The 26890-nt window shown below is 36.8% G+C and overlaps 1 protein-coding gene across 9 annotated transcripts in view; it reads left to right on the top strand.

Annotated features, from left to right (window-relative positions):
• Positions 1-26890, top strand: part of LRBA (LPS responsive beige-like anchor protein) — a 751293-nt gene that overhangs the window by 171938 nt on the left and 552465 nt on the right. For all 9 annotated transcript variants that reach the window (XM_047416462.1, NM_001367550.1, NM_006726.5 and 6 more), the window contains exons 29-31: positions 11814-11973; positions 15169-15610; positions 26533-26666. In XM_047416462.1, coding sequence (XP_047272418.1) covers positions 11814-11973; positions 15169-15610; positions 26533-26666 — 736 coding nt within the window. The remainder of the gene's footprint in view (positions 1-11813; positions 11974-15168; positions 15611-26532; positions 26667-26890) is intronic.

The raw sequence follows: 26890 nt of genomic DNA, 5'->3' as shown, positions 1-26890 counted from the left end.
ATTTTATAGATGAATAATCTAAGGCACATAAAGCTTGAGTAACATCTCCAAGCTAGTGTTGATAAACAATGATAAAATCAGGATTCAAACCCAGCAGTCTTAATTCTAAAATTGATGCTCTGAATGTAATAAAATGTTCAACTTCTGAATGGCATATTATTTTACTGAATATTGGATATTTTTTCCTCAAAGGTACACTAATGTGATAAAAAGGTGCATGATGAAATGTTGCTCTCAGTTTGGTGTTTCTAATTTTTTAAAGTTGAAAAACAGTTTTGTTTCAGCTGATTTTGATAGAAAACATTGCTAATTCTTATGTAGACAATTTAAAGTCATATAGAAAGTATAAAGATGAAAGTAAAAATAATTTATAATTGCACTCATCAGCATTTGGAATATTATCATTAGTAAATATTTGTTGAACACTTACTGTATGTTTTACATATATATTTCTTACAAACTTTCTAACCTCAATTTTTCTTTTTCCCCTCCCTTTTTTTCAATAGTTTTATTCTCTTTAGTTCTTGACTAGGTTTTTATGCATATGTAGAATTTGGAGTATTATCACTACTTAATAGTATTGAATACTTACTGTGTATTAAACATGATACTGGATGCTCTTATCAGGGGTCCCCAACCCCCAGACCACTGACCTGCACTTAGGCTGCACAGCAGGAGGTGAGGTGAGCAAAGGGTGAGGAGTGAAGCCAAGCTCCGCCTCCTGGTCAGATGGGCAGGAGCATTAGACTCTCATAGGAGCACGAACCCTATTGTGAACTGTGCATGCGATGGATCTTGGTTGTGCGCTCCTTATGAAAATCTAATTATAAATGTAATGCACTTGAATCATCCTGAAACCATGCCCCCTACCCCCACCCCGCCTCTTACCCCCTACAGGTCCATTGAAAAATTGTCTTCTATGAAACTAGTCCCTTGTGCCAAAAAGGTTGGGGACCAATGCTGTATATGTGTGTTTAATTCTCACAATAATTCTATGAGGGAGTTAGCAATATTTAAGTAATGTGCTTAAGATTATACAATTAGTAAGAGGTGAAAGTGAGTTTAGGACTTAGGGAATCTGATTCTTGAAATTTTGATCTTAACTAAAAGGCTATACTACCTTCTTAGATCATAGTTCTCTAGTAGCTGTTATTATTCCTTTAATTAAGAAGCCATCAACTTTTTTTCTCCCTGGAATCCTTTGAATGTGGTCAGTTTGAGGACCAAATGTTGCTGTTTTCTCCTCTGTTCACTTTTTTTCCATTGGGCAGGTTCTGAGTCTATTGTCCATAACTTTATATTTCCTAGAATGATCCTTAAAAATCTAGAATAGAATTAGCCACATGTGGTAGCACACGCCTCTAGTCCTAGCTACTTGGGAGGCTGAGGTGGGGAGGATCGCTTGAGCCTAGGAGGTCAAGGTTACCGTGAGCTATGATTGTGTCACTACAGCCTGTGTGACACAGCAAGACCCTGTCTCATAAACAAACAAATAAACTAGAATAGATGATGTTACTCTTTTTCTTTCAGAATTCTCTAATATCATCTTTTAGTGGTTAAATGGAATCCAAACTCTTCACAGTGCCTCTGGATGATCTGGCTCTTGAAGAACCTTCTAACCAGTTATTATATTACAATATTCTGCAAACAATTAGAATATCTCCTTTACTATATGATTACTGAAAGTCATAAATAATTTTAAGTGTTTTGTAATTATAAAAGTTATATAATCACCTTATAGGAGTTTTAGAAAAAAGAAAACACTATATTTTACATGCTAGAGTTTAGTCTCTTTAGGGAACAAAAGGAACCTATGATGAAAAAGGAAATCACTGGGTGGGTGCGGTGGCTCACACCTGTAATCCCAGCACTTTGGGAGGCTGAGGCAGGTGGATCACAAGGCCAGGAGATGGAGACCATCCTGGCTAACATGGTGAATCCCCATCTCTACTAAAAATACAAAAGCAGAATTAGCTGGGCATGGTTGTGGGTGCCTGTAGTCCCAGCTACTCGGGAGGCTGAGGCGGGAGAATGGCGTGAACTCGGGAGGCGGAGCTTGCAGTGAGCCCAGGTCACACCACTGCAGTCCAGCCTGGGCGACAGAGCAAGACTCTGTCTCAAAAAATAAAATAAAAAAATTTAAAAAATAAAAAGAAAAAAAAAGGGAAATGACCTAAGATCGACGACATAAATAAATTTCTACCTTGAGGTAAAGAGCTAAGGTTTTTAATCACCATAATCTGAGTTCAGATTTGCTTTTTTACATACTATATGTCCTTAAGTAAGTTGCTTCTCTAAGCCTTATCTTGTTCAAGTTTGCTAATAAAAATATGTATGAAATACATAGCACAGTGCCTGGCCTACGGTAAGTATTCAATAAATGACAGCTACAATGGAAAGCAAATCTATTTCTTGAGTTAGGATTTAAATGTAAACGATTTATGGGATATTTTTTATTTGAGGCCAAAAATCAGGCATATACTGTAAACTTCATGTGGTAGTTAGTAAACATTGAACATATTAATGGGCTAAATAAGGATTTAGATTGGCATAACTAATTTATAACAGACTAAGAAGTTAAGAACAAGTAAATTATTTGCTTGCATTTTGAATATTAATATCATTAGCAGCAGTTATTATAACATGGCAGAATTGTGTGGCAGAAGAACATGGGTATGTCTAGAGAAAAGGGGTGGTTTATAAAAAAGACAAATGTACCTTTGTTTTTTCCAACAGACTAAGAAGTCATTACATATGAACCTGCAAAATATCATAGATTTTGTCAGATCACGGATCACAAATATGTCAAAGAATTGCATCAAGTGGATATGTTCAAATTGAGCCTATCTTCTATTTTTCTGAAACTGATTATATCCAAAATTTTTGACATTAAGTATTAACAATTAGTCTCATTTTTACCATTAGTTTCTATTTACAGGCATGCCTCATTTTACTGTGCTTTGCTATTGCATGTTGCCGATTACTGGATTTTTTACAAATTGATGGTTTTTGGCAACTCTGTGTTGAACTAGTCTATCCATGCCATTTATCCAACAGCATGTACTTTATGTCTTTATGTCATATATTGGTAATTCTTACAATATTTCAAACCTTTTCATTATTATTATTTATCTGTCATGCTGATCTGTCATCAGTGATCTTTGGTATTACTATTGTAATTGTCTTGGGGCACCACAAACCACACCCATTTAAGACAGTGAACTTAATAAATGTCTGACTGTGCTACAAACTGGCCATTCCTGTCTCTCCCCATCTCCTTGGGAGGGGCCTTTACCCTGTCTCTCTATTTCCTGAAACACAACAATATTGAAATGAGACCAATTACAGCCCTACAGTGGCCTCTAAGGGTTCAAGAGAAAGGAAAAGTTGCATGTCTCTCACTTTAAATAAAAAGCTAGAAATGATTAAGCTTAGTGAAGATGATATATCAAAAGCTGATACAGGCCAAAAGCTGGGCTTCTTGTGCCAAACATTTAGCCAAGTTGTGAAGGCAAATGCAAAGTTCTTAAAGGAAATTAAAAGTAAACGATTACTCCAGTGAGCAAATGACTGATAAGAAGTAAAACGGCTTTATACTGTTGATTTGAAGAAAGTTTTAGTGGTCTGTATAAAAGATCCAACCAGGCACACTTAGGCCAAAGCCTATTTCAGATAAGGCTCCAACGCTCTTCAATTCTGTAAAGGCCGAGAGAAGTGAGGAAGCTGCAGAAGAAAAGTGAAGCTACCAGAGGTTGGTTCATAAAATTTAAGAAAAGAAGCTGTCTCCATAACAGAAAAGTACAAGGTGAAGCAATAGGTGCAGAAGAGCTAGCTAAGAAATTGATGAAGGTGTCTACACTAGGCAACAGATTTTCAATGTGGACAAAACACCTTTTTTTTTTTTTAATACTTTAAGTTCTAGGGTACATGTGCACAACGTGCAGGTTTGTTACATATGTATCCATGTGCCATGTTGGTGTGCTGCACCCATTAACTTGTCATTTACATTAGGTATATCTTCTAATGCTATCCCTCTCCCCTAACCCCGCCCCATGACAGGCCCTGGTGTGTGATGTTCCCCTTCCTGTGTCCAAGTGTTCTCATTGTTCAATTCCCACCTATGAGTGAGAAGATGCAGTGTTTGGTTTTTTGTCCTTGCAATAGTTTGCTGAGAATGATGGTTTCCAGCTTCATCCATGTCCCTACAAAGGATATAAACTCATCCTTTTTTATGGCTGCATAGTATTCCATGGTGTATATGTGCCACATTTTCTTAATCCAGTCTATCATTGATGGACATTTGGATTGGTTCCAAGTCTTTGCTATTGTGAATAGTCCTGCAGTGAACATACGTGTGCATGTGTCTTTATAGCAGCATGATTTATAATCCTTTGAGTATATACCCAGTAATGGGATGGCTGGGCCAAATGGTATTTGTAGTTCTAGATCCCTGAGGAATCGCCACACTGTCTTCACAATGGTTGAACTAGTTTACAGTCCCACCAACACTGTAAAAGTGTTCCTTTTTCTCCACATCCTCTCCAGCACCTGTTGTTTCCTGACTTTTTAATGATCGCCATTCAAACCGGTGTGAGATGGTATCTCATTGTGGTCTTGATTTGCATTTCTCTGATGGCCAGTGATGATGAGCATTTTTTCATGTGTCTGTTGGCTGCATAAATATCTTCTTTTGAGAATTGTCTGTTCATCTCCTTCGCCCACTTTTTGATGGGGTTGTTTTTTTCTTGTAAATTTGTTTGAGTTATTTGTAGATTCTGGATATTAGCCCTTTGTCAGATGAGTAGATAGCAAAAATTTTCTCCCATTCTGTAGGTTGCCTGTTCACTCTGATGATAGTTTCTTTTGCTGTACAGAAGCTCTTCAGTTTAAATAGATCCCATTTGAAAATTCAAAAAATCAGAGCACCTCTCCCCCTCCAAAGGAACGCCACTCCTTGCCAGCAATGGAACAAAGCTGTACAGAGAATGACTTTGACGAGTTGAGAGAAGAAAGCTTCAGATGGTCAGACTTCTCTGAGCTAAAGGAGGAAGTTTGAACCCATCCAAAAGAAGCTATGAAAACCTTGAAAAAAGATTAGACGAATGGCAAACTAGAATAACCAGTGTAGAGAAGTCCTTAAAGGACCTGATGGAGCTGAAAACCATGGCACAAGTACTACGTGACAAATGCACAAGCTTCAGTAGCCAATTTGATCAACTGGAAGAAAGGGTGTCAGTGATTGAAGATCAAATGAATGAAATGAAGTGAGAAGAGAAGTTTAGAGAAAAAAGAGTAAAGAGAAATGAACGAAGCCTCCAAGAAATATGGGACTATGTGAAAAGACCAAATCTACGTCTGATTGGTGTACCTGAAAGTGATGGGGAGAGTGGTACCAAGCTGGAAAACACTCTGCAGTATATTATCCAGGAGGACTTGCCCAACCTAGCAAGGCAGGCCAACATTCAAATTAAGGAAATACAGAGAACATCACAAACATACTCCTCGAGAAGAGCAACTCCAAGACACATAATTGTGAAATTCACCAAAGTTGAAATGAAGGAAAAAATGTTAAGGGCAGCCAGAGAGAAAGATCGGGTTACCCACAAAGGGAAGCTCATCAGACTAAGAGCGGATCTCTTGGCAGAAACTCTACAAGCCAGAAGAGAGTGGGGGCCAATATTCAACATTCTTAAAGAAACGAATTTTCAACCCAGAATTTCATATCCAGCCAAACTAAGCTTCATAAGTGAAGGAGAAATAAAATCCTTTACAGACAAGTAAATGCTGAGAGATTTGTCACCACCAGGCCTGCCCTACAAGAGCTCCTGAAGGAAGCACTAAACATGGAAAGGAACAACCAGTACCAGCCACTGCAAAAACATGCCAAATTGTAAAGACCATCGATGCTAGGAAGAAACTGCATCAACTAATGAGCAAAATAACCAGCTAACATCATAATGACAGGATCAAATTCACACATAACAATATTAACTTTAAATGTAAATGGGCTAAATGCTCCAATTAAAAGACACAGACTGGCAAATTGGGTAAAGAGTCAAGACCCATCAGTGTGCTGTATTCAGGAGACCCATCTCACATGCAGAGACACACATAGGCTGAAAATAAAGAGATGGAGGAAGATCTACCAAGCAAATGGAAAACAAAAAAAGGCAGGGGTTGCAATCCTAGTCTCTGATAAAACAGACTTTAAACCAACAAAGATCAAAAGAGACAAGGCCATTACATAATGGTAAAGGGATCAATTCAACAAGAAGAGCTAACTATCCTAAATATATATGCACCCAATACAGGAGTACCCAGGTTCATAAAGCAAGTCCTTAGAGACCTAGAAAGAGACTTAGACTCCCACACAATAATAATGGGAGACTTTCACACCCCACCGTCAACATTAGACAGATCAACGAGACAGAAGGTTAACAAGGATACCCAGGAATTGAACTCAGCTCTGCACCAAGTGGACCTAATAGACATCTACAGAACTCTCCACCCCAAATCAACAGAATAATCATTCTTCTCAGCACCACGTCGCACTTATTCCAAAATTGACCACATAGTTGGAAGTAAAGCACTCCTCAGCAAATGTAAAAGAACAGAAATTATAACAAACCATCTCTCCGACCACAGTGCAATCAAACTAGAACTCAGGATTAAGAAACTCACTCAAAACCACTCAACTACATGGAAACTGAGCAACCTGCTCCTGAATGACTACTGGGTACATAACAAAATGAAGGCAGAAATAAAGATGTTCTTTGAAACCAATGAGAACAAAGACACAACATACCAGAATCTCTGGGACACATTTAAAGCAGTGTGTAGAGGGAAATTTATAGCACTAAATGCCCACAAGAGAAAGCAGGAAAGATCTAAAATTGACACCCTAACATCACAATTAAAATAATTAGAGAAGCAAGAGCAAACAGATTCAAAAGCTAGCAGAAGGCAAGAAATAACTAAGATCAGAGTAGAACTGAAGGAGATAGAGACACAAAAAACCCTTCAAAAAATCAATGAATCCAGGAGCTGGTTTTTTGGAAAGATCAACAAAATTGATAGGCCACTAGCAAGACTAATAAAGAAGAAAAGAGAGAAGAATCGAATGACTCAATATAAAATGATAAAGGGGATATCACCACCAATCCCACAGAAATACAAATTACCATCAGAGAATACTATAAACACCTCTATGCAAATAAATTAGAAAATCTAGAAGAAATGGATAAATTCCTGGACACCCTCCCAAGACTAAACCAGGAAGAAGTTGAATCCCTGAAGAGACCAATAGCAGGCTCTGAAATTGAGGCAATAATTAATAGCCTAACAACCAAAAAAAGTCCAGGACCAGATGGATTCACAGCTGAATTCCACCCGAGGTGCAAGGAGGAGCTGGTACCATTCCTTCTGAAACTATTCCAATCAATAGAAAAAGAGGGAATCCTCCCTAACTCATTTTATGAGGCCAGCATCATCCTGTTACCAAAGCCTGGCAGAGACACAACAAAAAAAGAGAATTTTAGACCAATATCCCTGATGAACATCGATGCAAAAATCCTCACTAAAATACTGGCAAACCGAATCCAGCAGCACATCAAAAAGCTTATCCACCATGATCAAGTGGGCTTCATCCCTGGGATGCAAGGCTGGTTCAACATATGGAAATCAATAAACGTAATCCAGCATATAAACAGAACCAACGACAAAAACTACGTGATTGTCTCAATAGATGCAGAAAAGGCCATTGACAAAATTCAACAGCGCTTCATGCTAAAAACTCTGTATAAATTAGGTATTGATGGGACGTATCTCAAAATAATAAGAGCTATTTATGACAAACTCACAGCCAATATCATACTGAATGGGCAAAACTGGAAGCATTCCCTTTGAAAACTGGCACAAGAAAGCGATGCCCTCTCTCACCACTCTTATTCAACATAGTGTTGGAAGTTCTGGCCAGGGCAATCCGTCAGGAGAAAGAAAGAAAGGGTATTCAATTAGGAAAAGAGGAAGTCAAATTGTCCCTGTTTGCAGATGACATGATTGTATATTTAGAAAACCCCATCATCTCAGCCCAAAATCTCCTTAAGCTGATAAGCAACTTCAGCAAAGTCTCAGGATACAAAATCAATGTGCAAAAATCACAAACATTCCTATACACCAATAACAGACAAACAGCCAAATCATGAGTGAACTCCCATTCACAATTGCTTCAAAAAAAATAAAATACCTAGGAATCCAACTTACAAGAGATGTGAAGGACCTCTTCAAGGAGAACTACAAATCACTGCTCAGCGAAATAAAAGAGGACACAAACAAATGGAAAAACATTCCATGCTCATGGATAGGAAGAATCAATATCATGAAAATGGCCATACTGCCCAAGGTAATTTATAGATTCATTGCCATCCCCATCAGGCTACCAATGACTTTCTTCACAGAATTGGATAAAACTACTTTAAAGTTCATATGGAACCAAAAAAGAGCCTGCATTTCCAATGTAATCTTAAGCCAAAAGAACAAAGCTGGAGGCATCACACTACCTGACTTCAAGCTATACTATAAGGCTACAGTAACCAAAACAGCATGGTACTGGTATGAAAACAGAGATATAGACCAACGGAACAGAACAGAGGCCTCAGAAATAACACCACACATCTACAACTATCTGATCTTCGACAAACCTGACAAAAACAAGAAATGGGGAAAGGATTCCCTATTTAATAAATGGTGCTGGGAAAACTAGCTAGCCATATGTAGAAAGCTGAAACTGGATCCCTTCCTTACACCTTATACAAGCATTAATTCAAGATGGATCAAAGACTTAAATGTAAGACCTAAAACCATAAAAACCCTAGAAGAAAACCTAGGCAGTACCATTCAGGACACAGGCATGGGCAAGGACTTCATGTCTAAAACACCAAAAGCAATGGCAACAAAAGCCAAAACACCTTTTATTGGAAGAAGATACCATCCTACAATGTTCCTAGCTACCAGGAAGTCAATGCCTGGCTTCAGTGTTACAAAGGACAGGCTGATTCTCTTGTTAGGGACTAATACAGCTGGTGACTTTAAGTTAAAGCCAATGCACAATTATCATTCTGAAAATCCTCGGACCCTTAAGAATTATTATAAATCTACTCTGCCTGTGCTCTATAAAAGGAAGGACAAAGCCTAGATAAGAGCGCATCTGCTTACGACATGGCTTACTGAATGTTTTAAGGCCACTAGTGAGACCTGCTGTTCAGAAGAAAAGAGTCTTTTCAAATTATTACTGCTCATTGATAATCAACCTGGTCACCCAACAGCTCTGATCAGATATACAAGGAGATTCATGTTATTTTCATGCTTTTTAGTGAAATATTCATTCTGCAGTTCATGGATTAAGAGTCATTTTGACTTACTATTTAAGAAATACTTCTTATTATTTAAGACATACATTTTATCAGGCTGTAGCTGCTATAGATAGTAATTCCTTTGATGGATCTGGGCAAAGTAAATGGAAAATCTTCTGGAATTGATTCACTATTGTAGATACCATGAAGTACCCATGTGATTCATGGGAAGAAATCAACATATCAATGTTAATAGGAGTTTGGAAGAAATTGATTACAATTCTCATGGATGACTTTTAGGAGTTCATGATTTCCATGGAGGAAGTCACTGCTGATGTGGTGGAAATAGCAAGAGAATCAGAATGAGAAGCAGAGCCTAAACATGTGATTGAATTCCTACAATGTCATGATAATACTCCAACGAATGAAGAGTTGCTTCCTATGGATAATCAAAGAAATTGGTTTCCTACAATGGAATCCATTCATGATGAAGATACTGTGAACATTGTTGAAATGATAACAAAGGATTTAGAATATTACCTAAATGTATTTGATAAAACCTTTGTAGGGTTTCAGAGGAATGACTCCAATCCTGTGAGTAAAATGCTATGAAACAGCGTTGCTTGCTACAGAAAAATCTTTTGTGAAAGAAAGATTCAGTTAATGTGGCAAAGTTTCTTGTCTTATTTTAAGAGATTGCTACAGTTACCACCCTCACCCATCAGTCGACATCCATGAATGTGGAGATGCAACCTTCCACTAGCAAAAAGATTGTGACTCACTGAAAGTTCAGATAATTGTTAGCATTTTTAAGCTATAAAATATTTTTAAATTATGTGCGTTTTTTTTAGATACAATGCTGTTGTACAATTAATAGATTACAGTATAGTGTAAACGTAACTTTTATATACACTCGGAAACTAAAATATTTGTGTGACTCACTTTATTGTGATAGCCACTTTATTGCAGTGGTCCGGAACTAAACCTGTGGTATCTCCATGGTATGCCTGGATTTATCTGATAGGGAACAGTGTTCTTCATGTTCTTATTTTAAATTTACCTTCTGCTTGAGCCTTTGGTTTTCAGAATTTGATAGATAAATTTGAGTTTTTTCTTTAAATTAACAAGTTCAAACATATTTGGGAAAGTTAGTAGAATAGTGGTGTGTGTAGGTTCTCCTTGAAGATGGGGAATTTGACAAGATAAAGAGGTCAGTGATATATAGGTGACCTGTAGAGCTAGAATGGAGCCTAGGCCCTTCAAGAGGTCAGTCTAGTTTGTCTTCTTTCTCATAGATCCTTTTTTTTTAAATCTTGATATATAATTGTTTGTACTATTTTAAATACTCTCAAGAATTCCTTTGTGGTCAGGTGTGGGAGCTCACACCTATAATCCCAGTGCTTTGGGAGGCTAAGGCAGGAGGATTGCTCGAGGCCAAGAGTTCGAGACCAGCCTGAGCTACATAACAAGACCCTGTCTCTTCAAGAAATTAAAAAACAAAAATTAGCTGGATGTGGTGGTGTATTCTTGTAGTCCTAGCTACTTGTGAGGCTGAGGCAGGAAGATCTCTTGAGCATGGGAGTTCAAGGGTACAGTGAGCTATGATTGTGTCATTGTACTCCAGCCTGAGCAATGGAGTGGGGCCCTGTCTCAAAAAAAAGAAGGAATTCCTTTGGCATCCTATTCTGTATCTAATAGCTTCAGTTTTTTTCTTCTGCATGTTTATTTTTTGGCACTTTTATTGTGATATTTTATGTATTTTAGTTTTTATGATTACAGATAAAAATAACCAGTTATCCTCATATCATTGTTTATTTATTTATTGATTGATTGCTTGATTGAGATAGAGTCTCACTCACTCTGTCGCCCAGGCTTGAGTGCAGTGATGCGATCTCAGCTCACTGCAACCTCTGCCTCCTGGGTTCAAGCCATTCTCCCACCTCAGGCTCCTGAGTAGCTGGGATTACAGGCATGTGCCACCACACCTGGCTAATTTTTGTATTTTTAGTAGAGATGGGGTTTCACTATGTTGGCCAGGCTGGTCTCAAATTCCTGACCTCAAGTGATCCGCCTGGTTTGGCCCCCAAAGTACTGGGATTACAGGTGTGAGCCACTGCATCTGACCTGTTTTCATATAATTATAATTACTGTTTGTTTGATTAACATTATAATGTATATTAGGACATACGTCTTTAGATTGAATAATTTAAAAAAATGAGCTAACTTCTCTCTTTCCATGTTTTGCAAGTATAAAGCTTCTCATTTAAAGACATTTTTCTAAGAGTCTTTGCCTAATGTTTGCTCAAGTAAGTTTATTAATAAATTTATTATTTACGTAGGTAATGTATTTTCTGTGTATATTGAAAGATTTGTGAACATGTTTTGTATTTAAACATTGTGATGTAAAATATAATGATGTTATTTTATGGTTACATAATCAACTCCTTTAATTTTTTTTCCCAGGAGGATAGCAAACAAGCTCAATTTTTAGCCTTGGCAGTAGTATACTTTATCTCTGTTCTTATGGTCTCCAAGTACAGAGACATTTTGGAACCCCAAAATGAAAGGCATAGCCAGTCATGTACAGAAACTGGCAGTGAAAATGAGAATGTATCACTCTCTGGTAAGTTTGCATTTTCTATTCCTTTGTACCAAAGTTCAAATAAATGTTACTTACTTTTGATGGTTAAAATATTGATATTGGAATTTAAATCCATTTCTGTGCAAATTAAGGGAGAGCATACATATATTTTTATTATTAACTAAAAGTTGTGGCTTAAATATAATGTAATTAATTGCAATTGGGATATTTTTTGTTCTTTAAATGAACTAATTAAATGTAAGTCAGAAAATGTTATACAAAAAGAGTTGAAAAATTTTATTGACTTCATTTGCTGTGAAGAATCACTAACTCATATTCTAAGAGACAGACTTGTTAACAAGTAACTGCAATAATTGGAGTATTAAAAGTAGCTTCCAGTTATAAAAGTATAGTTAGTTAAGTAGCTGTTGCAATTATAGAAGTAGCTACCACCCAAAGGAGGCAATTTATTATTCACTCGATATTCATTCAATATCTACTGGATACTTGGGTATATATTCATGACTAAAACAAAACAAAAAATCTGTTTCCTTATGGAGCTTATATTCTAATGGGAGGAGATAGAAAATATCTACATGCTATAAGTAGATTGTGTAGTATTTTAGAAGGTGGTGAAAGTGCTAAAAAAAAAAAAAAAGAAAGTAATAAAGATGGTAAAAATATCAGGAATGACCAGGAGTAATTGGGTATGGATTTCTCTTTGAGGGAAATGAGAACTCATTGGAGGGTCTTGAGTACAGGAGTTACAATTTATGTTTTAAAAAGTACCTCTGGGCTGGGCTTGGTAGTTCACGCCAGTAATCCCAGCACTTTGGGAAGCCGAGGCAGCTGGATCACTTGAGGTCAGGAGTTGGAGACCATCCTGGCCAACATGGTAAAACCCTATCTCTACTAAAAATACAAAAAATTAGCCAGGCATGGTGGTGGGTGCCTGTAATCCCAGCTACTTAGGAAGCTGAGGCAGGAGAATCGCTTGAACTTGGGAGGCAGAGGTTGCAGTGAGCAGAGATCCCACCACAACAACTCCAGCCTGGGTGACAGAGTGAGACTCCGTTTCCAAAAAAAAAAAAAAAAAAAAAAGTAACTCTGTATTCTGTGTAGAGGATATAGCGTAGAGGGCAAGGATAATCAGTGTTTTTGGCTGGGTACTGCTGTTTAATACCTTACCCTGCACTTAGTGTCCTAAGACCATAACCATTTTAATCTTTCCTTCATGATTTCTTGAGTTAGATTTGGATAGGGCACGGTGGGCATGGTTTATCCCTGTTTCAGATGATGTTTGCTGGGTCTGGAAAATCTAAGATGACTTTTCTAATAGTATATATAGTGCCTCAGGTGGGATGGCTCCAAGAGCTGAGACTGACTGACTAAAACAGCTGAGCTGGGGTTGTGTGTCTGCAGCCTTGATACTTGTTCTCAACTGAGTTCCTGGTTTCCTTCATTAGTTTGGAGAGCATCTCTGTCTCCATATCGTCTCTCTACATGTTCTTTCCAGCAAGGTAGATCAGAAATAAGCCACACTTCTTACAGAGATGTTCAGAGATTCTGGGAATGCAAGAGCTGCCAGACCTTAAAACGTGGGCCAAATACTGGCCCACTGCTGCTTTTGCCAGATCCTGTGGGTTATTGTCAGTCAAGCCTAGTCCAGATTCAAGGGCTTGTCAAGGGATGCATACCAGGAGACATGGGGCAGTAGGATTATTAAAACAACCCTCTTCCACAACAGTTAGGAAGGAGGATATTGCAGTAATCAGTAATCCAGGCAAGAGGTTATGGTGGGTTGGATTAGGTTGGTAACTAGAGATGGTGAGAGGCAGTCAGATTCTGAATATGTTTTAGTGGTAGAAAAAACAGAATTTTAAAACATTAGGTGTGCATTTTGTGAATGAAAAAGGTAGTCAAAAATGATTACAAGGTACAGTGGAGTAGATTAAAGGTGAAAGAGATTTTCAGGGAAAGATAAAAAGAGAAGAAATTCAGTTTTCAGCATGTTGAGTTTGAGAGGTTTTTTTAGACATGTAAGATAAGTTGTAGGGTAGCAGTTATATTTAATAGTTTGAGTTTTTTGGTGGGGAAATATAGTGGTATTTAAAACTTGGAGAATGAATGATACCACGAAGGGACTAAATGCAGACAGAGAACATAAGAGGAACAAGGACTGAACCTTGTGTCCCTCCAACTTAAGAAATCAGGGAGAAAAAGAGGTGAAGGATGTTAAGAAGGAACAGTCAGTGAAGTAGTACAAGGAAAACAAAAAGAGAATGGTGTCCTGAAAGCCGAGGAAAGGAAGCATTGTCTAGTTGGAGGGAATAATCAGCTGTTGCTGTTATGTGAAGTCCTATTAGGACTGAACACTGACCATTGGAGTTAGCAAGATGCAGATTTTTTGGTGACCTTGATAAGACTATTTTTGCTAGAATGGGTTGAAACCCTGATTAAAGGGAGTGAGAATTAAAAGAGAGAAAAGGAGGTGTTCCTTGTTGAACTGGATTTTAAGGATCATTGAATTATTTATGCACGTAGAAGGGGTAACAAGTTTTCCAGCTGCAGTAACCATGTTTGAGGTAGAGCTTTTTATTTTATCCTAAAGATTGCGGACTTGGGCCAGGCATGGTGGTGCATGCCTATAATCCTAGCACTTTGGGAGGCCGAGGCAGGTAGATTGCTTGAGCTCAGGAGTTTGAGACCAGCCTGGGCAACATGGTGAAACCTCATCTCTACAAAAAAATAGAAAAATTAGCCAGACGTGGTAGCACATACCTGTAGTCTCAGCTACTTGAGAGGCTTAGGTGGGAGGATCGCCTGAGCCCAGGAGGTCAAGGCTGCAGTGAGCCTAGGTCACACCACTGCACTTCAGCCTGGGCAACAGACTGACACACACACACACACACACACACACACACACACACACACACCCCCAAAAAAGATTATAGACTTTTTCTTACAGGCCAATGACTTTCAACCTTGTGTTGCTACCCATTACTTTAGATCATTTTTGCAAGTATTTTATTATTTATTTTATTATACCATCTGTCTTGATAATAGGTGCACCCACTCAGTACATTCTGTAGAATACGTAATTAGTTTTTGCTTTTTTAGAACATGATGTATTTCATAATTCAAAACAGTAGATAGCTATTAAAACAGAATATACCTTTTAAAAATTAGTTCTAAACTTTTGTTTGTTTATTTCTTGTGTTTCTGGGTATGATATAGAAATCACACCAGCAGCATTCAGCACTTTAACTACGGCATCAGTGGAAGAATCTGAAAGCACATCATCTGCTCGAAGGAGGGACTCAGGCATTGGGGAAGAAACAGCCACTGGTTTAGGAAGCCATGTGGAAGTAACTCCTCACACAGCACCTCCTGGTGTCAGTGCAGGCCCAGATGCAATCAGCGAGGTGCTATCTACTCTTTCTTTAGAAGTCAATAAGTCTCCGGAAACCAAAAATGATAGAGGAAATGACTTGGACACTAAGGCTACACCGTCAGTTTCAGTTTCAAAAAACGTCAATGTGAAAGACATTCTCCGAAGCTTGGTTAACATACCAGCAGATGGAGTCACAGTGGATCCTGCCCTTCTGCCACCAGCCTGCCTTGGAGCCCTTGGTGATCTATCTGTGGAACAACCCGTGCAGTTCAGATCTTTTGACAGGTACTGATAATAGTTTTTCGTTTTGGTATGTTTCTACATCTGACCCTTGAACAACATGGGGGTTAGGGATGATGACGCCCTGTGTAGCCGAAAATCCACATATAACTTTTCACTCCCTCAGAACTTAACTACCAATAGCTTATGTTGATCAGAAACTTTACTGATAACATAAACAGTTGATTCACACATATTTTGATTGTTATATGTATTATATACTGTAATCTTACAGTAAGGTAAGCTAGAAAAAAAGAACATGTTATTAAGAAAATCATAAGGAAGGCCAGGTGCAGTGGCTCACATCTGTAATCCCAGCATTTTGGGAGGTTGAAGTGTGTGGATCACCTGAGGTCAGGAGTTCGAGACCAGCCTGACCAACATGGTGAAACCCAGTCTCTACTAAAAATACAAAAATTAGCTGGGCATGGTGGGGTGTGCCTGTAATCCAGGCTACTCCAGAGGCTGAGGCAGGAGAATCGCTTGAACCCAGGAGGGGCAGTGGTTGCAATGAGCTGAGATCGCACCATTGCACTCCAGCCTGGGCAAGAAGAGCGAAACTCTGTCTAAAAAAAAAAAAAGAAAAAAAAAGAAATCATAAGGAAGAAAAAAATATATTACTGTTCATCAGGTGAAGCGAATCATCATAAAGATCTTCATCTTTCTTGTCTTCATGTTGAGTATGCTGAGGAGGAGGAAGAGAAGAGGTTGATTTTAGTATCTCAGGGGCAGTTGAGGTAGCAGAGTTGGAGAAAGTGAAAGGGGAAGCAGGAGAGGCAGACACACTTGGTGTAAATTTACAGAAATGCACTGGAATTTCTTTCTGACCTTTTTGCTTTTTTATTTGTCTAAAAATGTTTCTATGTGGTACAAACCCTTCTTTCACCATTTGCTTTAGTTTCAGTGCCTGTATCATAGAAGGGTGAATGTCATAAAAGAAGTTAAAAGCAGTCTTGAATCATTAGAACCCTTCTGCCAGATTGTCTAATGTCAGTTCATTTTCTGGTACTGCTTCTTCTATGTCTTCCTCATCTAATAGTGGTTTGGATGTTCTTGTCTCCGTCAAATTGTTTTCCCTCTGTTGATCCTTCTGTTCTTGTGGTATCTGTTAGTTCTTGAATTTCTCTGAGATTCATATCTTGAAACCCTTCACCCCTCACCTTTTTGTCATATCTATAGTCTCTCATGATTTCCTTGATTAGTTCTGTCAGAAATCCTGTGGAGTCATGCACAACACCTAGAAACACAGTCTTCTCTAGGAGGAATTTATTGTTTCAAACTTGATGGTTTCCACAGCTTTTTCTGTAACAGTGATCCTCAGTGGTATAATCCTTCTAGACTTTCACGATGTTCTGTTGGGTTCTCTTCCATAGTGTTGACAGTTGTTTCCTAAGAATGCCATGTGTAATGAACCATAAAGGTCCTTGTGACCTCCTGTTCTAGAGGCTGAATTAGAGAAGTTGCGTTTGAGGGCAGTTAGACCACTTCAACACCCTCAGTGTTGAACTCATGAAGCTCTGGGTGGTCAGGAGCATTGTCCAATTGTAAAAGAACTTTAAAAGTTAATCTCTTACTGATAAGGTACTTCCTGACTTTAGGGACAAAGTATCAATAGAACCAATCCAGAAAAAGGATTCTTTTTGTCCAGGCCTTCTTGTACAACCAACAGACTTGCAGCTGGTGTTTGTGTTTTCCTTTCAAGGCTCAGGGGTTAGCAGCTTTATATTAATAGATAAGGGCAGTCATGATCATAAACCCAACTGCATTTGCACAAAACAGTAGAGTTAGCCTATCTCTTCCTGCCATAAATCCTAGTGCTCACTTCTCTTCCTTGCTAATAAATATCCTTTGTGGCTTCCCCCCCATCCCAAATAGGTTACGTTTGTCTGCATTAAAAACCTGACTGGGCTGGTCCTTTCTTCTAAATGATTTTCTTGATGTCTAGGAACTCATCTGTTGCCTCTTGGTTGGCAGAAGCTGCTTCTCCTGTTATCTTGATCATCCTTTGCTGGCATTAAATCTAGCCTTAGATTCTTTTTTACTTAAATTTGACATATAATGACTTCAGTTTTTCTCAAATCATGTTAGAGTCTATAGGTATGCCTTTCTTATAACAATCCTGTACCCACATAAAAGCTGCATTTTCAGTGCAAGATAAAGATATTTCACAAAAAGTGCAAGTTTTTTTTGTTTTGTTTTTTTGTTTGTTTGTTTTTTTGCCTCCTGGTGTCACTGCAGTGACAACTTTGCCAACTTCCTTTTCTTTACAATAGTTCTTATGCGGGATTAATTTCTTTGGAAATGGCAGGCAACCATAGCTACAGACCTCAATCTACAGTACATATCAAGCAATTCAACTTTTTCTTATAATGTCATGACTTTTCCCTGCTGCTTGGGAGCATGTCCAGTATTGCTAGTGGCACTTTGTATGGGTCCCATTATGTTATCAAAGGTTTATAATATTGCAGTAAACATGATGAAAAATATATGAGAACTGGGAGAGAGCACTTTTACCGTGATACACAGTTTACTGGAGAGACAAACTTCCCAGTACTTTGGGAGGCTGAGGCGGGTGGATCATTTGAGATCAGCAGTTCAAGACCAGCCCGGCCAACATGGTGAAACCCCACCTCTACTAAAAATACAAAAAAATTATCTACGCGTGGTGGCGGGTGCCTGTAATCCCAGCTATTTGGGAGGCAGAGGCAGGAGAATCGCTTGAACCTGGGAGGTGGAGGTTGCAGTGAGCCAAAACTGCAGCATTGCACTCCAGCCTGGGCAACAAGAGCAAAACTCCTTCCCCCCCTGCCCCATAAAAAGAGATGAACTGCGTGCTCTGAGATGACTAGTGTCACACAGCATTTTAAGTGATGCTAACAATACCAATGCTCAATGCAATTGTGGCAGGAAGTAGCTATGAAATTATTACAGTAGTACAGTATGCATTAATGTTAATTTTATACAGTTATGCTTTAATAATTGAAATTTACATTGTTTACATTTCTTTTAACTGTAGATGGTACCATGTACTATTTCTAAGTGTTTGTGTTTGTAAGTTTTGATATATTTTAACTTATTTTTGTGTCTTCTGAGATTTTTCATTTTATGAATTTTTTTTTTTTGTCTGGGTGCAGTGACTCACACCTGCAATTCCAGCATTTTGTGGGCTGAGGTGGGAGGATTGCTTGAGTCCAGGAATTTGAGACTAGCCTGGGCAACACGGTGAGATTTTAAAACAAAAAGATTAGCTGGGCATGGTGATGTGTGCCTGTAGTCTCAGCTACTCAGGAGGCTGAGGCGGGAGGATCACTGGAGCCCAGGAGTTTGACACTACAGTGAGCTGTGTTCATGCCACTGCACTCCAGCCTGGGTGACAGAGGGAGAACTTGTCTCAAAGAAACTTTTTAAAAATTGATGCATAATGAGTGGGATTTATTCTGGGGATGCAAGAATGTCTGAGCATACACAAACTATCAGTGTGATACATCATATCAACAGGATGGAAGACAAAAGCCATATGATCATTTCAATTGCTGCTGAAAAGCATTTGATAAAATTCACTATTCCTTCATGATAAAAACCCTTAAAAAACTGCATATAGAGGGAACATAACACAATAAAAAGCCATAAAGAACAGATCCACAGCTAGTATCATATGGAACAGAGAAAAACTGAAAGCCTTTTCTCTAAAATCTGGAATGAGACAACGATGCCCACTTTCATTACTGTTACTCAACACAGTACTGGAGGTCCTAGGTAAAGCAATCAGACAAGAGAAAGAAATGGCATTTAAATTGGAAAGGAAGATGTCAGTTGTTTGCAGATGATATGATCTTGTATTTAGAGTATTTAGAAAAACCTAAAGAGTCCATAAAAAACTATTATAACTGATAAATTCAGTACAGTTGCATGACAAAAATTAGCATACAAAAATTAGTATCATTTCTATATGCTAACAGTGAACAATCTGAAAAAGAGATCAAGAAAGTAATCCAATTTACAATAGCTATAAGTAAAATACCTAGGAATAAACAGCCAAAGAAGTGAAAGATCCCTCAGTGACAACTATAAAACATTGATGCAAAAACTAAAAAGGACCCCCAAAATGAAAGATATTTCATATTCATGGATTGGAAGAATTAATAGTGTTAAAATGTTCATGCTACCCAAAGCAATCTACAGATTCAGTGCAATCCATATCAAAATACCAGTGACATTCTTCACAGAAATAGAAAAAATATTCCTAGAAACTATATGGAACCACAGAGACTCAGAATAGCCAAAGCTATCCTGAGCAAAGAGAACAAAACTTCAAATTATACTACAGAGCTATGGTAACCAAAACAGCATGATACTGTCATAAAAACAGATACATAGACCAATGGAATAGAATAGAGAACTCAAATAAATCCACACGTCTACAAGTGAACTCATTTTTGACAAAGGTGCCAAGAACATGCAATGGGGAAAGGACAGTCTTCTCAGTGGTACTGAGTAAAGTGTATATCCATATGCAGAAGAATGAATACCTTTATCTCTTACTATATACAAAAATCAGTTCAAAATGGATTAAAGACTTAAATCTATGACCTGAAACTATGAAACTACTGAAAAAAAATCATTGGAAAAACTCTCCAGGACATTAATCTGGGGAGATTTCTCGAGTAATACCCCAAAAGCACAGGCAGTCAAAGCAAACATGGACAGATGAGATCACATCAAGCTACAGAACTTATGCATAGCAGAGAAAACAATCAACAAATTGAAGAGACAACCCACAGACTGGGGATTATATAATAAACTTATAATTCTGGTTAACTGACAAGGGTTCTAATAATCAGAATATATAAGGGACTCAACCAACTCTATAGGAAGAAATGTATTAATAATAATTTAAAAATATTACTACATTTTAAACGAAATGATAACCTTAAAATGGGCTAAAGATCTCAATAGACATTTCTCAAAGAAGACATAGAAATGTCAAATGATTTTATGACAAGATGCTCAACATCATTGATCAGAAAAATGCAAATCAAAACAATGAGATATCATCTCACTCCAGTTAAAATCGCTTATATCCAAAAGATAAGCAGTAACAAATGTTGGCAAGGATGTGGAGATAAGGGAACCTTCATATACTGTTGGTGGGAGTGTAATTACTACAACCACTATGGGAAACAGTTTGGAGGTTCCCGAGGCAACTAAAAATAGAACTAGTTTGTGTTTATAACACTGTGCTTACCGGTTTAAGCTGTGATTACTGATGTGTGCCACCATGCCCAGCTAGTCTTTGTATTTTTAGTAGAGATGAGGTTTCACCATGTTGGCCAGGCTGGTCTCAAACTCCTGGCCTCAAGTGATCCAAAGTGTTGAGATTACAGGCATCAGCCACTGCGCCTGGCTTCAATTTTTATTTATTTATTTTATTTTTGAGACGGTGTCTTGCTCTGCCACCCAGGCTGGAGTGCAGTGGCAGTCATAGCTCACTGCAGCCTCAAACTCATGGGATCAAGGGATCGTTCTTCCTCAGTCCCCTGAGTAGCTGGGACCAACATGTCCAGCTATTTAAAAAATTTTTTGTAGAGATGAGGTGTTGCTCTGTTGCCCAGGCTGGTGCTGAACTCCTGACCTCAAGCGATCCTGCTGCATTGTCCTCCCAAAGCATTGGGATTCCAGGCGTGAGCCACTGTGCCCTGTCTATTCTCAATTTTTATAATTTATTTAGATTTGTTAGTGTTAGATTGAGTACCCAGAAATATGTGAGGCTATACTTTTAAATTTAATATATGTTAATATAGTTACATTGTTTACTAATGATCAAAATTTTATGTATTTTAGCATTTATTTCTTTTTAAAATAGTGTAGAAATTAAATTTGTGCCTTACTGATGTCTTCAGTGAGTAGATCATGAACATATTTAGGAAATCATGCTTAGGTGTAATACATTTTAAGGGGTTTATTGAAATAGAAAACAACAGATAATTTTGATGGTAGCATTTTCCAGGATGTTCTGTAGAATTTAACATGTCTAGTATTCATTTAACAGTCTCTGATGGCAAGGAAACTGCTCTGTTTTTTACCCTCTTTTTTTTTCTTATTTAGAGACCCCTTTGTAAAAACTTTCATGCTGCCTTGGGCTAGTGGAATATCTTTGGGAATTTCAAAGCATCCCTCTGATCATGTATTTATCTCAGGAATGCTATGTCAGAAATCACAACTCTCCTCATATCTTAAGTATTATCAACTTCCAAGGAATAGCTGGAAAGTTTAGAGTAACAGCTACATGAATAAAACCTTGCTGAAAGGCTGCCAGGTTGTGGGCCTTTGTGAATGCAAAGGTGTTTGTGTTCATTCCCATGCCAAAATTCTTGTTCTTATCTAATTTGAAGATCCTCTCTGATGATTAGTGAATGCCAGGGATTTATCTTGATAAAGTTCAAGGACTGGTTTGGCTTTTCAACTGGATCCTTAGGGACTGAAGTGGTAGGCTGAAATGCTCTTTTTTCCTTTAGTGAACTATTTGCATGTTAAGTAAAATAGCATTTGTGTGAGGGTTTGTGATATTTGAAACTGATATAATACTGAAATGGAAGTTCTCAACTTTATTGATCGGGAAGGCATTGTTGCTATTTGCCTATTGCCAGTAAATTAAAAGAAACTTTGAAATGAGTATCCCTTGTTCAGGGGAAAAAAAAAATCCAGCAACAGTATTTTCATTTGTTCTGTGTGGTACTTTAGGAAAATTACTTCTTTCTCATTTGTAAAATTAGCATAATAATATGTACTACTAATCTCAAGGGTTGTCATAAATTAAATATGATAATTTGTGTATGTTCTTAAGCACGGTGCCCCACAAATATTAAGTATTCATAGTGAGTTCATAAAGAAAAAAATGATAATAAGAACAATTTTTATCTCTTTTAATATTTGGTTTATAATTGACAATTTGGGAAACCAGCTTGCATAATTGGTTGTCTATCTTTCAGATTCCTTATGCTAAAAAGTTTGAAGCACTTTCTGCTAAAATTGATGTAGATATAAAAAGTTCCAATAATTGTTCTTAAACATTAAAAAAGATTTCAATTTGTTTCTTAAATAGAAACTTAAGCTGTAGCCTGAGAAAGATGCCAGAAATATCCCTAGCACATTGTCTGTCATGTAAAGTCTCAGTTTTGTCAAATGCATATTGCATTTTCCTCTGTGTTTTCCAATGCATTGTATAAAAAGGTAATATTAAATGCTTAGTTTTTGCATGATCAATCTTAACTATTGGTAAGTTTAAAATTCTAGATTATTTTTGTTAACTGTGGAACATGCTTTACTAATTTAGATTTATACTTATATTTAACAACATAAACACGATAGGTTAAAGATCTCTGTTGAAGATTTTAGTCTTTTACACTGAAACTTTATAGTAATAATGACAATGATTGGTAAAGACAATGAAAATATTTCAAAATCTACCTACTGCTTAGTGTCCTTTTAATTGGATCATTGTAACTTTGATTTTTCTTTGATTTTGTGTAGCCTTAAGCTGAAGCAATGTTATGTTAATTCCTTAGAATTGATTTGAATCAGTCAGCGAATTTGGAAATTGATTTTATTTCTCTATTATATACTAATTATGTAGCTATATGAAATAATTCAGCTTTTAAAAATTTATGAGCAGATGTATTTTTGTGATTTTATGGTAGTATATAAATAATTTTATATGTTAGAGATCTTTATTGCTGTTGATTATAGATGATTCTAAAATTATGTTTAAATGTTAATATGATTGTGGTGATAAATATACAACTTTGTGAGCATACCAAAAATCTCTTAACTGTATATTTTTAGTGAATTAAATGGTATGTGAATTATATCTCTGAAGTTTTAAGAAAGGTCAACATGGGGAAACGGTTCAAATTCAAGGCTCTGCTGTTAGATAAACCTAGATTTCCATGGTAGTTCTACCATTTACTTTGGTTATTACTTTACCTTTCTGAGGTTTTTATTTAAAATTTCTAAAAATTGAATTAATATGTACCTTAGGATTGTTTTGAGAATTGAATAATAATTGTTGGCATATTGTCAGTGCATTTATCTTAGCTGCTATTAGAATTTATAATTTTATATTACCTAACAAGCAAGCAGGATTAAGAAGAAAGCATCTTGGCAGAGGAGGCATATATACGAAGGGTTGGAGTTGTGAAATGACACAACACGCTTAGCAACCATAAGAGCATGTTGAAGAAGTGTGTGAGGAACATGTAAAATGTAAATTCATGTAGAAAGCCGTACTTCTGATCTATCATTCCTGACAATAGGTGAAAGATCTTGGACAATAAATATTTACTGAACTGAATAAAAGAATAAGATCTTATTTGTGACTGAAACATTAACAGCAAGAGGCTAGAGGATTAGAAATGAAGTTGAGTTCTTTTGTTGTGTTTAATTAGCTATGTCATCTTGAATAAATAGGGATTGTGCATATTTGGAACAGCTGTAGTAAATTCTGTTCTGTTACCAGTTTTCCAGTGTTTTATTATGAAAATGTTCAGGCATACAGAAAAGTTGAAAGAATTGCACAGTGAACACCTGTAGACCCATCACTGAGATTCAACAATTAGCTTTTAGCTCTGTTTGCTTCACCATGTATCCATCAATCAATCTTATTTTTGTAATGTACTTCAAAGTTGTAGACATCAGTTCACTTCACTCTTAAATATTTCAGCCAGCATGCAGCTCTCTAACTGGAGATGAATACAGTTTTTTTTTTTGAGCTAAAATTTACATACAATGAAAGACACAGGTCTTAAGTGTACCATTTGATGAGTTTTGACAAATTTATACACTTGTGTAACCTTAAGTCCCCATCATGATATCATTGGTCTTGAAAGTTCTCTTTCCCAGCCAATTCCTGTTCCTATCCCCCAGAGGCAATTATTCTGATTTTTTTCTACCATAAATTAGTTTTGTCTGTTCTAGACATGCATGTTAAAAAAAAAAAACCCATAAAGTATATACTCCTTAGTATAAGACTTCATTCAACATAATGCTTTTGAGATTCATCCATGTTGTTTGTTACCTTTTCATTTCATTCATCAGTAGTTTGTTACCTTTTATTGCTGAATAATATTCCATTCTAGAAGCATAGCACCATTAAAAATTTACTATATCTGCATAAAGGACATTTGGGCTATTTCCAGTTTTTGACTATTATAAATAAAGCCTGTATGACCATTACTGTATACATGTTTTGTGGACATAAGCTTTCTTGAGGAAATTCCTAGAAGTGGAATTGTTGAGTCATAGCATAGATGGGTATATATCTTACATTTTGATTATAGAAAAAGCAATTGCACTTTTCTAAGTATTCTTTTCTATTGCTCAATTCAGTCCCTACTTACAGTATGAGTAAACTAGATCTTGCTGGTTCTTTCTTTTGTGAACAAATGTGAAAGTAAATTCTTCATATTTCTCCTCCCTCCCCTGCAAAAACATTGGTAGAAGACAGTGATTTTCTTAAGCAATGGGTTTTAAATTTCTCCCTCCAGTAGGAAATACAAAAATTACATTTTGCGTTGTTTTTGAAGGTACCACTAATACATACGTACACACACACATTCGTGCACGCACACACACACACACACACACACACACACACAGACATTCGTCATATCTACTCCCCCTTAAGTCAATAATCTTCATCTGATATAAGCTGCTGTGATTTAAGCACACCATTTTGGATTGGGGGCTCAGGTGGCTGTTGCTTCTATTTTTTAGTGTATAGTTAACATTGGCAGTCACCCTTATAATGATGTGACACCAGCTACCCTGAAGTACATTGAATAAGCCATGCCTAGCACAAGAGACCTTGATTTAATTGGCAACAGTGTTTGCCCTCACATGATAGGCACTGAGGTAAAACGAAACCTATTTTGCTTTGTGTGTGTGTTTTTAAAAATAACTACAAAAATGTATTATTAAAATATTGGAATTACATAATTTTCACTTTTGAATGCATGTATAGGGATCAAATACCTAAGTTACTTTGTTTAGAAGCTGAATACTTTAAAGCTATTAAGGGAATACTTGAAGCTCGCAGTTATAGTACTGTCAACAAAAGATGTGATTAAATAAATTGAATGTTGAAGACTTTGGGCTTATGGTTAACACCAGGTAATTAAAAGTAAGCACTGCTGTGGGAGTGCATTATATATCAGCTGTCCTCTTTACCTCATTAACTGAGTTTTTGCATGTTTATGGAGCCAACTTCAATTAAAAATGCCTTTTAAGTTATGCCTAACAAGGTCTTTTACTTACTGTTTGGTATAAAGTATTACATTTTAATTGAAATTGGTATATCATAAATACCTGTGTTTGAATAATATACAAGATAAAGAACTTTGACTATTTGATATTTTTGCGTATGGTTTTTATTCCTATGCATTGCTTTTTTATATATTATCAAAAGATATAGTCTTTGGGGTTTAAAAATGAAAAACTGGGTTGTATACATGTTAGCAAATTGCTTATATCTGCTTTTTTTTTTTAAGCTTATAAGATTTCTAAGGTTTTATTATTTCAGATTAGCAGTGCTTTACAATTCTTGTGGAAACGTTGAATTTTCTGCTTTAATACTTTTGGTTATATTTTATTTGTTAGATAATTAAGATGATCCTAAATTTTAAAAATACTATGTGGTAAATATAAGCTTAAATGTTAAATAGATTATTATATTTTCATAGTGAAATGCAGATAAATATGGACAGTATTGAAGATATTTCATGTTGGGTGAAAAGTCTAAATTGTACATCAAATAGAAATAAGAAAGAAAATTAGAAAAATAAGTTAGCTACCTAGTTTCTGTTTTGAAATTCATGTAATTAATTCAAGAGATCAATTTGTATCTTTCAGTCTGTTTACTTTCTTTATTACAGAAGTGTCATTGTTGCAGCAAAAAAGTCAGCAGTCTCACCTTCCACCTTTAATACAAGCATACCTACCAATGCTGTCAGTGTGGTTTCCTCAGTAGATTCAGCCCAAGCCTCAGATATGGGAGGAGAATCACCAGGTGAGTTAGTTATCAGTGATTTCAACAAAAATGTTTTTAGATCTCATTTTAGCAACGCTTAAGATTTTTGATTAACTTAAAATTTGGGGGCACATTAGAAACCATTGTACTTTTATACTGTTGATTGTTTACTACTTTTCTGAATAAATTTGAGTAAAATTAAAAGAAATTAAGTCAAGGATTTCACTATTTTCTCCACTCAAACCTAGTAGTGTGTGGTAGAT

Source organism: Homo sapiens, chromosome 4 (assembly GCF_000001405.40).
Source record: "Homo sapiens chromosome 4, GRCh38.p14 Primary Assembly".
Classification (NCBI taxonomy): Eukaryota; Metazoa; Chordata; class Mammalia; order Primates; family Hominidae; genus Homo; species Homo sapiens.
Note: the sequence above shows the minus strand (reverse complement) of the source record. Positions and strands in the feature narration are given on the sequence as shown.